The 14503-nt window shown below is 44.9% G+C and overlaps 1 protein-coding gene across 2 annotated transcripts in view; it reads left to right on the top strand.

The window, feature by feature from the left end:
• Window positions 1-10588: 10588 nt before the first annotated feature.
• MUC22 (mucin 22) overlaps window positions 10589-14503 on the top strand; it is a 29451-nt gene continuing 25536 nt past the window's right edge. For both annotated transcript variants that reach the window (NM_001198815.1, NM_001318484.1), the window contains exon 1: window positions 10589-10770. Coding sequence is in view for 1 of the 2 variants with exons in the window: in NM_001318484.1 (NP_001305413.1) it covers window positions 10764-10770 (7 nt within the window). In the remaining variant the exon portion in view is untranslated. The remainder of the gene's footprint in view (window positions 10771-14503) is intronic.

Below are 14503 nucleotides of genomic sequence, written 5' to 3' on the forward strand. Positions count from 1 at the left end.
CAATGGCACAATATCATTGTGGTTTTGATATGCGTTTCTCTAATAATCAATGATGTTTAGCTTTTTAAAATATGTTTGTTGGCCACATGTATGTCTTCTTTTGGGAAGTGTCTGTTCATGTCCTTTGTCCACTTTTTGATGGAATTGTTTGCTTTTTTAAAATAAATTTGTTTAAGTTCCTTATAGATGCTGAATATGAGCCCTTTGTCAGATGCATAGTTTGCAAAAATTTTCTCCCATTCTGTAGGTTGTCTGTTTACTCTGTTGATAGTTTCTTTTGCTGTGCAGAAGCTCTTTCGTTTAGTTAAATCCCATTTTCAATTTTTCCTTTTGTTGCAATTGCTTTCAGAATCTTCGTCATGAAATTTTTGCCCATGCCTATGTCCTGAATGGTATTACCTAGGTTGTCTTCCAGGGTTTTATAGTTTTGGGTTTTACATTTAAGTCTTTAATCCATCGTGAGTTAATTTTTGTGTAAGGTGTAAAGAAGGGGTCCAGTTTGAATTGTTTGCATATGGCTAGCCTGTTATCCCAGCACCGTTTATTGAACAGGGAATTCTTTCCCCATTGTTTGCTTTCGTCAGGTTTGTTGAAGATCAGATAGTCGTGGGTGCGTGGTCTTATTTCTGTGTTTTCTATTCTGTTCCACTGGTGTATGTGTCTGTTCTTGTACCAGTACCATGTTGTTTTGGTTTGCAGTAATGTCTTATGGTATTGGGTGCTCATCTATGGAATGGAGATGGGCCATCAATCCTCAGAAGATGCAAGGCCCAGAGCCCACAGTGAAGATTTTTTGTTTGTTTGTTTTGTTTTGTTTTGTTTTGTTTTGAGACGGAGTCTCGCTCTGTCACCCAGGCTGGATTGCAATGGTGCGACCTTGTCTCACTGCCACCTCCGCCTCCTGGGTTCAAGCGATTCTCCTGCCTCAGCCTCCCGAGTAACTGGGACTACAGGCACCTGCCACCATGCCCAGCTAACTTTTGTATTTTTAGTAGAGATGGGGTTTCACCATATTGGCCAGGCTGGTCTCGAACTCCTGACCTTGTGATCCGCCCACCTTGGCCTCCCAAAGTGTTAGGATTACAGGTGTGAGCCATTGCACCCGGCCCACAGTGAAGTTTTTAGGGGTTACATGGTTGGGTAACACTCCTTTGATACTGGGTGCAATAATTGACAAAGCCCAACAATGTCAACTCCAGAAACAGTCAAAGAAATCCAAACATTTGTGGGTCTTTTGGGTTATTGGAGAGTATGCATCCCATACTTAGCACAGTTTTTGAGATCCCTATACAGACTTATCAGAGAAAGGGCACATTGGGCCTGGGACACACCACAGCAGGAAGCTTTGAACAGGCTGAAGTGTTGGTACAGCAGGCACAGGCCTTAGGCACCCCTTTGGAGGGTACAGCTAGGACTTTGGATGTTACTGCTGCTCCTGAGGATATGAGTGGGGCCTTATGGCAACCGCAGTCTAGGGAATCAGTCCTTTTAAGAAAGGAGCCAAAACCAGATACTCTCCTGTTGAACAAGAAGTGCTAGTAGTAGAGAATGCTTTACAGCAGGTGGAATTGCTAACAAAGACCCTTCCCATGACTGTGAGAATAGGTCTACCAATCAAGGGATGGTTAGAAGGATTTTTAAACAACCCACCTCCGCTGTAGCCCCAACACCTACCTTGAATAAATGGCATGATTATTTGCAACAAGGAAGAATGCTAGCAATGAGTCCCTTAAGCCCAGAATTACATACTGCATTAGGCTCTGTTATGACGTGAACAAACAAAGGATACCACCTGACCCTCTCCAACTCCAGCACCTGACATGGTAAGCATCCAGATGATGCTTGGTGTACAGAGGACTCCAGCAGGGGAAACCGCTGTTCTTGGACCGCTGTTGCTACACAGCCACAAACTGATACAATCTGGTTTGATACAGGTGGGCATCAGAGGAGCCACTGGGATGAGTTGCAAGCAGCCTGGTTAATAGTCACATATGAGCCTGGCCCCTGGTTCTTTGCACTGATAGCTGAGCTGTATTCAAAGGCCTAATTATGTGGCTGGCTCAACAGGAACTAGAAAAGTGGATGATTATGCACAAACCTATATGGGGCATGAACATGTGGCAAGACATACGGAAAAAGCCGCAAAGCCTTGTGGCTGATTTAACTGTATTTCAGGTGACTGCACATAAAAACCACTCAGTTCCACAAAACATGGAAGCTAAAACCCTAAAAAAAATTAGAAGCATCATGCCAGCTCAGGCCTCTGAACTATTGACCTGGGTACATAACAAAAGTGGTCACAGAAGTGCAAGAGTAGGCTGGGAGACAGTCAAGGAAGCAGGATTACTCTTAAAATGTAGTGACCAGGCTGGGCACGGTGGCTCATGCCTGTAATCCCAGCACTTTGGGAGGCCGAGGCGGGCAAATCACCTGAGGTTGGGAGTTCGAGACCAGCTTGACCAACATGGAGAAACCTGTCTCTACTAAAAATACAAAATTAGCTGGGCGTGGTGGCATGCACCTGTAATCCCAGCTACTCAGGAGGCTGAGGCAGGAGAACTGCTTGAACCCGGGAGGTGGAGGTTGTAGTGAGCCGAGATCACGCCATTGCACTCCAGCCAGGGCAATAAGAGCAAAACTCCGTCTCAAAAAAAAAAAAAAAAAAAAAAAAAAATATATATATATATAGTGACCTAGTCCTGGTACAGTGGCTCACACATGGGGAGGCCATGGTGGGACGATTGCTTGGGGCCAGGAGTTTGAGTCCAGCCTGGGCAACATATCGAGATCCCATCTCCACAACAACAACAAAAAATATATAGTGCCTTCCCAACAGCTCTTACAAATTGTTTACCATGTTCTCTATTGTAGATCATATTGAGCAGGACACATTCAGATATTCAGAAGGCTGTCCACCATGTAACAGATTGGCAAGTGGATTATTTAGATACTGTCCCTGTAAGCCAAGGAAATAAATACATGTTAACCTGCATGGACACCGCTACTGGACTGCTGCAAGATTCTCCCTATAAGCAAGCTAATCAAGCCAGTACTATTAAAGGCTTAGAGGCTCTCAGTACTATGTATGGATATATCTGGCACATTGACAGTGACCGAGGGACCCATTTCGCTGGATATGACATGCAGGACTGGGCCAGGAAACATGATACACTATGGCACTTTTATCTCCCATAGAACCTCCAAGCAGCAGGGTTAATTGAAAGAAATACCAGTCTGTTGAAAGCACAAATTCAAACTCTAATTTGGGAAACCTACCTTGCATAGGCAGATGAATGTGTTATCTCCAACCTTTATTTCTTTAAATTCAGCCAAAGCAGGGACGCCTGCCCCATGTGACCGTCTAGGACAACGGTCCCCCAAGCCTACCACTGTTCCCATAGGGGTAATTGAGACGACTGCTTTGCTTGCTCCCAGACCTCATTGACAACCAGTGTCTTTTGCACATGAAGATGCCAGCAGATATACTACCGAGGAGGAAACACACCGAGCTTGGAACGACAAATAGCCCCAGGCTGGATAGGCTATTTCCTGCTAGAGAGTGACAACACCCTAAATAAAGAACAAAACAACCTGATACCCAAAAACAGGCTGGGTTTATTTGGTTAATTCCGTCTTTTGGCCATGTTAGTCAACTTGCTCCTCAGTCTTGGGAACAAATGAATCATTCTAAAGATACTTGGCCAAATTGCACAAGGGATATGTGATGGATAGCAAGAGACTGATTTTTATATACTATGCTATAATATAATAAAATACTCATTGGGCATGTTACAGAACGGACACTGTGTGCAGGAATCTTTTGGTTGGCCCCAAATGGAACTTCCTGGATATGTGGTACCAATTTATGGCCTTGGTTACCCCCTGCATGTTTAGGAAGATGTTCTTTGGATTATACACGGGCACAGACTGAATAGTTCACACACTACAAAGCCTATCAATCTCCCTCATTTGAAATCCCACTGGTTCTGATCTGTTTTTTATTGGTATGATTGTTTGGCCTCCATTTGTCTTCCTCATCCGGTTATTGAAGATATTATCTGGCATATAGAAACTCTATAAAGCCTGTAATCCCTGCACTTTGGGAGGCCAAGGCAGGTGGATCAGTTGAGGTCGGGAGTTCGAGATCAGCCTGGCCAACACGGTGTAACCCCATCTCCACAAAAAATAACAAAATTAGCTGGGCGTGGTGGCGCATGCCTGTAATCCCAGTTACTTGGGAGGCTGAGGCAGGAAAATTGCTTGAACCTGGGAGGTGGAGGTTACAGTGAGCCAAGACCGTGCTACTGCACTCCTGCCCAGGTGATAGAGCGAGACTCTGACTCAAAAAATTAAAAAAACAAACTCTACAAAAAATAAAAAAAAAGAAAACTTTAAATGATAGCTGCATGGGAATCTCTCTTTTAAACATGGAAGTCACTGTCATGAGAAAGTCTGTCCTCCCAAATTACCAGGCTTTACATATACTCACGCTGCACAACGGGGCACTTGTGCAATTGGAAAAACTGCTGTGTTTATATTCCTGATGAATCAGTTAATATCGCTAAATTAATGACTGATATAAAAGCCCACATAACCAAGCTCTCAGACCCCTACTTTGAATAATTGGCTTCACAGCTGGTTTGGGTCCTGGGGCACCTGGTGGCATAAGCTGCTTCTTGGTTTAGGTGCTGTACTCGTACGTTCCTTACTGTCTTGTTTGAGCCTTTACTGCTGCTGTGTTATCTGCCTCCAGTGGAGCCAACGCACTGCTGCTAAAGCTATGCACTATCAAGGGTCCTCCCTTTAGGCCCAGGGACTATCATGGAAGAGATGAGCACGTGAAATTGTCAGGGCCAGTTTTGAGAGGTGGAGTGTAGGAATACAGCCTGTTGCACGGCAACAGGGACGCCATTTTGAAGCAAAGCTGCCATTGAGAGGTGACAGGGTGCTGGAAGTCCGCACAGCCCTTGCTCGCTCTCAGCGCCTCCTCTGCCTGGGCTCCCACTTTGGCGGCACTTGAGGAGCCCTTCAGCCCACCGCTGCACTGTGGAAGCCCCTTTCTGGGCTGGCCAAGGCCGGAGCCCACTCCCTCAGCTTGCAGGGAGGTGTGGAGGGAGAGGTGCGGAGGGAGAGGTGCGAGCGGGAACCGGGGCTGCACGCGGCGCTTGCGGGCCAGCTGGAGTTCCGGGTGGGCGTGGGCTTGGCTGGCCCTGCCGGTCCTGGGCAATGAAGGGCTTAGCACCCGGGCCAGCAGCTGCGGACGGTGTACTGGGTCCCCCAGCAGTGCCAGCCCGCCGGCGCTGCACTCGATTTCTCACCAGGCCTTAGCTGCCTTCCCGCGGGGCAGGGCTTGGGACCTGCAGCCCGCCATGCCTGAGCCTCCCACCCCCTCCATGGGCTCCTATGCGGCCCGAGCCTCCCCGACGAGTGCCACCCCCTGCTCCAGGGCGCCCAGTCCCATCGACCACCCAAGGGCTGAGGAGTGCAAGCGCACGGCGCAGGACTGGCAGGCAGCTCCACCTGCAGCCCCGGTGCGGGATCCACTGGGTGAAGCCAGCTGGGCTCCTGAGTCTGGTGGGGATGTGGAGAACCTTTATGTCTAGCTCAGGGATTGTAAATACACCAATCCGCACTCTGTATCTAGCTCAAGGTTTGTAAACACACCAATCAGCACCCTGAGTCTAGCTCAGGGTTCGTGAGTTCACCAATCGACACTCTGTATCTAGCTGCTCTGGTGGGGCCTTGAAGAACCTTCGTGTCCACACTCTGTATCTAGCTAATCTGGTGGGGACGTGGAGAACCTTTGTGTCTAGCTCAGGGATTGTAAACGCACCAATCAGCACCCTGTCAAAACAGACCACTCGGCTCTACCAATCAGCAGGATGTGGGTGGGGCCAGATAAGAGAATAAAAGCAGGCTGCCCCAGCCAGCAGTGGTAACCCGTTCTGGTCCTTTTCCTGACTGTGGAAGCTTTGTTCTTTTGCTCTTTGCAATAAATCTTGCTACTGCTCACTCTTTGGGTCCATGCTGCTTTTGTGAGCTGTAACACTCATCGTGAAGATCTGCAGCTTCATTCCTGAGCCAGCGAGACCACAAACCCACCAGAAGGAAGAAACTGTGAACACATGCGAACATCGGAAAGAACAAGCTCCAGACGCGCCACCTTAAGTGCTGTAACAGTAACCGCGAGGGTCTGCGGCTTCATTCTTGAAGTCAGTGAGACCAAGAAGCCACCAATTCTGGACACATCATGATGACCAGTGGTCCACTTTTGCATAGCAAAGTGCACTGCAGCACAGTCTTCAAACAATGCCTGCTGCATAAATAACCCTTCACAAACATGCTTCTTTAACCTCCGGAGTGGTTATGGGTTTTGGCAAGAAAGTCTGAGATGTGACCAGCTGCATATATTTTACCCTAAGACCTTGCTATAGAAAGGATGTTTTCTGGAGTGTCCATCGTCTTGCAGCTCTCCCAGACGTGGCTTCTGTTGCTTAGTCCTTGTTCAAAATTTCTTTTGGAGAAACTGGATTTGTTAGCCACTTATTTCATTCAGCCTTTGTTCCATAAAAGGGTCATACATGTAAAGTGGCTCCCAAACGCTGAAGGAGCCGAGAAACCAAAAACAAGGCAGATAGATCCAGTTTGTCAGTAAATGGTGATTTGCTGGGGAATTTACAGACAGAAGTGTAGTCTTGGGTGGCAGCAAGTCAGGTAGATCTCCACACCTGTTACCCCCAGACCCAGGGCTTACCCCGGAAAGGGTGTATACTTCCTGTAGAGACAATTAAAAGCAACCTTTCAGAACAGGCAGGAATGCTATGTGCGTCGTAGCCTGTAATTTATGCCATAATATCAAGGTTGCTTTGATCTAAAGGCAGGGGCTGGATGTGGTGGCTAATGCCTGTAATCCCAGAGCTTTGGGAGGGAGAGGAGGGAGGATTGCTTGGGGGCAGGAGTTTGAGACCAGTCTGGGAAACAAAACAACACCTCATCTCTACAAAAAAGAAAACCAAAATTAGTTGGGAGTGGTAGCATGTGCCTGTGGTCCCAGCTACTTGGGAGGCTGAGGCAGGAGGATCACTACAGCCCAGGAGTTAGAGGCTGCAGTGGGCTGAGATTGCACCACTGAACTCCAGCCTAGGTGACAGAGCAAGACCCTGTCTCTAAAAACAAAACAACAAACAAAAAACGAAGACAGGATTTACAGTAAGTACATGTCCTTACCAAGAACAGTAAATAAAGTAGGAATGAGGCCCATGTGACTCATGGGACCTGGGTTAATCAGAAGTCAACATGGCAGATTAGCATCCAAGATGGAGTCACTTTGTCTCCACAGCCTCTCAGCTCCCTCAGTCTTTGGGGGAAGGTTTGCATGCCCCTGCTCACTGAGGAACAGAGAGGCCACGCTGAGCCATATGCAGGCAATCATCATCATCTGCTCACTTAAAGGGATCCAGAAACCAGAAGGGAAAGACAAGTTGAACACCCTGAAAAGGTGCCTCCCACTGATAGGAACTGTGGAAACCCTTATGTGGAAAAGCATGAAAAGAAATAAGATCAGGCAAGGGTGTCCAGCTAGATCATTTTTTAAAAAAATAGTAAAACATGTATTTTCAAATTTTAATAGACAAATTGAAAGAGGCTGGCCATTATAGAGAATTATGCTAGTAATCCGGAAGAGCAAGCGCGAAAAATAACTCAAACAGACACAATTATACAGGAATAAAAATCACCCGGCAAATATAATACATTTGGAGGATAGATCCAGGAAGACTAACGTGCAAGTAATAAGGCTCAAAACAGAGAAAAAGAGACGAAATGGAAGAGAAGAATTAGAAGGGAAAAAAGAAGAGCTGGAATAGAGAAAAAAGATTTGAGTCTGTCTATGAAAAGCTTCACCAAGTACAACTCTGTAAATATACTAAAAAACACTGGTTTATTTATTTATTTATTTTAGACGGAGTCTTGCTCTGTCGCCCAGGCTGGAGTGCAGTGGCGTGATCTCAGCTCACTGCAACCTCCACCTTCCAGGTTCAAGTGATTCTCCTGCTTCAGCCTCCCGAGTAGCTGGGATTACAGGTGCGTGCCACCACACCCAGCTAATTTGTGTGTGTGTGTGTATTTTTAGTAGAGATGGGGTTTCACAATGTTGGCCAGGCTGGTCTCGAACTCCTGACCTCAGGTGATCCACCCACCTTGGACTCCCAAAGTGCTGGGATTACAGGCATGAGCCACTGCACCCGGCCTAAAACCACTGGTTTATATACTTTATTTTATTCTTATTATTTTTTTAAATTTGAGATGGAATCTCACTCTGTCACCGAGGCTGGAGTGCAGTGGCGCAATCTCGGCTCACTGCAACCTCTGCTTCCTAGGTTTAAGAGATTCTCCTCCCTCAGCCTCCCAAGTAGCTGGGATTATAGGCGAGTGCCACCATGCCTGGCTAATTTTTGTATTTTTAGTAGAGATGGGGTTTCACCACTGTTGACCAGGCTAGTCTTGAACTCCTAACCTCAGGTGATCCACCCATCTCAGCCTCCCAAAGTGCTGGGATTAGAGGCATGACCCACCTTGCCCAGCCAGGTTTATATACTTTAAACAGGTGAACTATATGGTATGTAAATTATAGCTCAATACAGCTCTTAAATTTTTACCAGGCACATTATGTAAATAAAAATTTTTATTTCCTGGCCGGACATGGTGGCTCACACCTGTGATCCCAGCATTCTGGGAGGCTGAGGCAGGCAGATCACTTGAGGCCAGGAGTTTGAGACCAGCCTGGCCAACATGGCAAAACCCTGTCTCTACTAAAAATACAAAAATTAGCCATGCGCGGTGGTGCGCGCCTGTAGTCCCAGCTACTTGGAAGGCTGAGGCAGGAGAATCACTTGAACCTGGGAGGTGGACGTTGCAGTGAGCTGAGATCATGTCACTGCACTCTAGCCTGGGTGACAGAGTGAGACTCTGTCTCAAATTTTAAAAAATTATTTCCAAAAATAAACAACAAATGACTCAAATGAATGGGCATTTTGAGCTAGAGGAAGGAGAAAAGGGGGGAGTCCCTGGTGAGCAATTTACCTTGTGATTGATTCACATAGTTGTGCTGTGAGTATCTCATTACTCCCAGCAACTGGGGTGTGCAGGTAGAGTTTGGAAGCATCATTACCCAGCTTTCGTCATGGAATACACCTACTCCTGTAATGTGACAAAGCCCCAGCCCACCAAGCATGCGTGACCCAAGCAAAAGTCCAGGAAGTGGACAGGGTTAAAGGGCTGCCCATCTAGACCTGTGCCTTTGCACTGTGGATTTAGCACAATGATCTTCACGTGGCATCTGTGCCCCCACATCTTGGGCGTACATAAAGACTTCCTGAAGAGTATTATGCAGGCGTGGGTTGTTTGATGGGAACCATTTTCCAGATCTTCAACTTCCGTATGTGCTTGTGGCCTAGAACTGATCTGTCTGAGGGCACCTCTGTGGTCAGGGCTACACTTTTCTGACTCTTCTTTGATGAACATCCAACATTTCCTCTGTAGCTCCCATATTATTATTACCACATTTCCGCAGGGTGTAGAACATTTCAGGGTGTCAAATAAAGCCTTTTAGTGAAGGGATACCTCAAAAACCACCTCTAATTTAGGGATCATATACCCAGAGTAGGACTTCCTGTTTTCTCCTGCCTCATATAAATTCCTGTGAAGGGCTACGTGGAGTGTAAGGAACTGGTAATTTTGGCATGTGTTAAGGTGTTATTTACGCAGATACACTGTAGAATGAAGTAACAGGAGTAATAAAAACTTCTTTTTTTCCTTTCTTTTTTTTTTAACAATCTCTTCTCTTCCATCCACTCTTTAAAAATGCATCCCTCTTGAGGGAGTATCTCATGAGATTGGAGCAAGAGCAGAATCAGCAGAAAGAATAGAGGAGGCAGTGGCTTATTTAACCAAGGAGAAAAATCCCATGGCAGCCAACCCACCTTATCTGTCTGTCTGCCTATTTTAGAATATTCAAGATTTGTCAACAACTTGCTGGGACAAAGCAATGTGCTATGAAGCACACTTCCCTGAATTGTACACCATTTTCTGTAAGGGGAAAGAGCTTCCTGTTCACTAGTTTCTTGGTTTAGGTAACAATTGTGTATTTGGCATGATTTCAAGGAGAAAGATGTTGTAAGCTCCAACTGATTAATGTTACACCTTAAGATAAAAGACACTTAGAGAGGCCATACGGCATGTCAGCTAAGAGCACAGATTGTGGAGCTCGAATTTCTGGTTTCAAATCCAATTTCATTGTGACTTTCCACAAATTCCTTAATTCTTCTGGGTCTCAGTTTCCATATTTGTAAACATGAGAGTGAAAATAGTACCCACTTCATGGGGTTATTGTGAAGGCTTAGAATAGTCCTGCATTTCGTAAGCGCTCTGTAAGTTGTGTTATTTTTAAAATGTTAGGTAAGTGGGCCAAGCGAGGTGGCTCATGCCTGTAATTTCAGCACTTTGGGAGGCGGAGGCGGGTGGATCACCTGAGGTCAGGCTTTTGAGACTAGCCTGACCAACATGGTGAAACCCCATCTCTACTAAAAATACAAAAACTAGCTGGCGTGGTGGCAGGCACCTGTAGTCCCAGCTACGTGGGAAGCTGAGGCAAGAGAATAGCTTGAACCTGGGAAGTGGAGGTTGCAGTGAGCCGAGATTGCACCACTGCACTCCAGCCTGGTCGACAGAGCGAGACTCCGTCTCAAAAAAATGAAAAATAAAAAATGTTAGGTAAGTTAATGATTCATATTTTCTTGAAAATATGGAAAGACGTATCATAAGAGAAGCATTTTTGCTTAATTCACCAAAAAGTTACTGGGGGCTATAAATTGAACACAGAGTCTTACAAGGCACAGGAAATTTTTTAGACGTTTATAAACATATCTTTTGATGCAGAGGAGTATGACAGGGTGATCAATAAAAGCTTTTCAAGCAAAAAATTATTACAGACCATATGACATCCCAGAAAAGACAAAACTATAAAGGCAGTCAAGAGTCAATGGTTGCCAGGGGTTACGAGGGTGGGGTGATGAATAGGTGGAGCACAGAGGATTCTTAGGGCGTGAAACTACTGTATATGATACTACAATGGTGGATGCCTGTCATTGTACATTTGTCAAAACCCATAGAATATACAAGAGTAAACCCTGACGTCAACGAGGTGGGGAGGTTGTGCTTGCGTAGGGGCAGGGAGTCTATGGGACCTCTGTACTTACCACTTAATTTTGCTGTGAACCCAAAACTGCTCTAAGAGATAAGGTTTATTAATTAGACATACTGTGATATATGTATAGCAGTAGAATATTTATGTTACTGGTATTTAATATGATATATGGAGAGAGACCAGTAGAATAATATGGGGAAAGTAAAATGGAACTATAAGTTCGTAGAGCAGGAGGAACCATTTAAAAACCTAGACTATTGAGGAAGAGCTTGCTTATATGTTATTCAAAAGGATAATGGAAGCTAGGTGCAGTGGCTCACGTCTGTAATCCCAGCACTTGGGGAGGCTGAGGCGGGAGGATTGCTTGAGCCCAAGAGTTCAACACCAGCCTGAGCAATATAGTGAGACCCCCCACATCTCTTAAAGTAAAATAAAATTTAAAAAAAGGATAATGATGAGTATTGAGATGCTGCTAGTGTTTAGAGTCTACTGGAAACATTTTAAAGAGTAGTAAAAACTTTTATTATTTCAATGTCTACATTTACAATATGGTAGAAATTACATTCTTTGCAATAATTAAATGTATGATAAAAAATTTAGATTAAACATAGACAGAGGAGGGAAAACAGCTTTTCAAAATTGTTTTTGAACGTATACACAACAGAAAATTTGAAGATGGGCACTCAAGCACATAGGACATTTCTACACAAATGGTGGCTCCAGATAGCTGAAGAAGCTTAAGCAGCTGTAGGAGAGATCTCCAAATCCAGGGACAGTGGCTGCCATCAGAGTGGTCCGTTTGTGGGAAAATGGGTCACAGACATAGACCATATCAGGCTATATTTCACAGAAAATCTTCTTCTTTTTGTTACTTTCTGATGAACTATATGCTATATGGAAGGTACCATTGAGACTCCTTGTGATGAAAATAACTCTACTTGAATTGGGGGTAAACTAAAATTAGAAGGGAAAGCAGACCCCTTGTCCAGCCAGGTTGAAGAAAATCTAAGCCGGTACAGGGTGAGGTTGAGAGAGATGGCAGCGAGAATCTGGAACACAGGCCTTTCCTAAATCAAACTTTCAGCACAGGTCATTCAAGGGCGAATTTCAAATCTATGCTATGTTTATAAATTGTGTACTCTACGTAATTGCCGGGTCCCTGGAATTCCCTACTCTGTGCGAAACTAATCTCTTACTCTCTAAAACAAACCCAAGTCCTAAGCCCACAACCCCTGTTTGCTCTTTCCTTCCTAGTCATCAGAACCCTCATGACTCAGACTCTCCAAGGAGGCATTTAAAAAAATGTTCTCGGACCAGTCAGCTCCACTCGAGCAACCTGCTCTTAACTCATTAATTTTCCCGACATGTCCCTTATGATGACTCGTCCATCTGTTTTTCAAATTCCACATAGCTGGGCCTCTGTAGCTTTGTGGTTTTATATTCCGCATACTTTCTAACAGTGACAGCTCCAGAATTTCTATGTCAGATGAAGTTGGGAACAGGCAGTCTGGTTGGAGGAAGATATTCAGGGGCCAGACTCAAAGTCCTGTTTGGACATGACAACCTCCTTTTATAATGGCGAAGAGCACAGGCTCTGCAGCTGGACTGATAGTTTAATTCCTGACTCCATCACTTACTAACTTTGTGAGTTTGGCCAAATTACTTGACTTCTCCATGGTTTAGTTTCCTTATTTGTAAAATGAAGACAATGGTAGTACTGTGTCTCAGAGTCGTTGGATGCCAATGCAGGATCCCAGTGACCAGATGGAACGAGAGGGAGCTCAGGAGAGACCAGCTTGAAGGGCCGAAGTCTTGTTCCCACATTGCCAGTAGGAGGCATAAATTCCCCCTCAGAGGACGTGCAGGAAAGAAGTGGAGGGGAGAGCCCTTGAAATGGGGGGAAAACAGTCCTGAGAGGGGCATTAAATTTCATATGGCCAAGTATTTACCCAAAAGAGACCTGAAACATTGTTTTCTTTTTCTTTCTTTTTTTTTTTTTTGAGACGGAGTCTCACTCTGTCACCCGGGCTGGAGTGCAGTGGTGCGATCTTGGCTCACTACAACCTCTGCCTCCCGGGTTCAAGCAATTCTCCTGCCTCAGCCTCCCAAGTAGCTGGGATTACAGGCACCCGCCACTACGCCCAGCTAATTTATTTTTATTTTTATTTTTATTAGAGATGGGGTTTCACCATGTTGATCAGGCTGGTCTCAAACTCCTAACCCGCCCACCTTGGCTTCCCAAAGTGTTGGGATTACAGGCGTGAGCCACCAAAATTTTTTTCTTTCTTATTGTTTTTAATTCTCCCCCCAAGCTTACTGAGGTAAAATAGACAAAAATTATATGTTTTCAGCGTGTACAATGTGTTGATTTGATGAGTATACATTGTGAAATAATTACCACTATCAAACTAATGAACACATCACCAACACATATTTACCATTTCTTTTCTGTGTGTGTTAGCAAATTTCAGATAGACAATACAATATTGTTAATTATAGTCTCCATGTGATTAAAGTTCCAGAACTCATTCTTCTTATAACTGAAAGTTTGTACCCTTGACTGTTGTTTTTAATCTTTAAATTGAGGCTTAAAATATATGCAGTAAAATGTGCAGAGTGGACACATAAGTGCTCAAGTCGTTGAATTTTATTTAATTCTTTAATGTATTTATTTTAAAGAAATAGAGACAGGGTCTTGCTATGTTGCCTAGACTGCTCTTGAACTCCTGGGCTCACACAATCCTCCCACCTCAGCCTCTCAAGGTGTTGGGATTACAGGCATGAGCCACCGCACCCGGCCAATTGTTGAATCTTAACACATGCATACACTCACCTACCCGCTTTCCAGATCAAGATGTGCCACATTCTTATCACCCCAGAAGCCTCCCCTGCCTCCTCCCCATCAGTGCCACCCTAGAGGTAGCCAGTATTTTGACTTTAATCATCATCAGTTGATTTTTCCATGTACTTGACTTTCATATAATTAGAACCATACAGTATGCCTTCCAAAAGAGACACTTTTAAAAGAAAATGAAATTTCATCACCAATATTTGGCAAGCTTATACCCGTATCCTCATTTCCAACCCCAGGCTTCCCTGCCATTGGTGGGAAAGAGAGTCTGGAAACTGAGTTGGGTGAGTTATAGCAAGCCAAACTACATTTTTCCTTGCATATCTGAATTACACGGGGTAAATTTCAATCAACTGCTAGTTGTGAGCCTAGAAATAGGGACGCAGGTGAGTCAGGGTCCCTGACCTATGCTTAAGAGCCATTGCCAAAGATTGACTCAGGGAAATGGG

Source organism: Homo sapiens, chromosome 6 (assembly GCF_000001405.40).
Source record: "Homo sapiens chromosome 6, GRCh38.p14 Primary Assembly".
Lineage (NCBI taxonomy): Eukaryota > Metazoa > Chordata > Mammalia > Primates > Hominidae > Homo > Homo sapiens.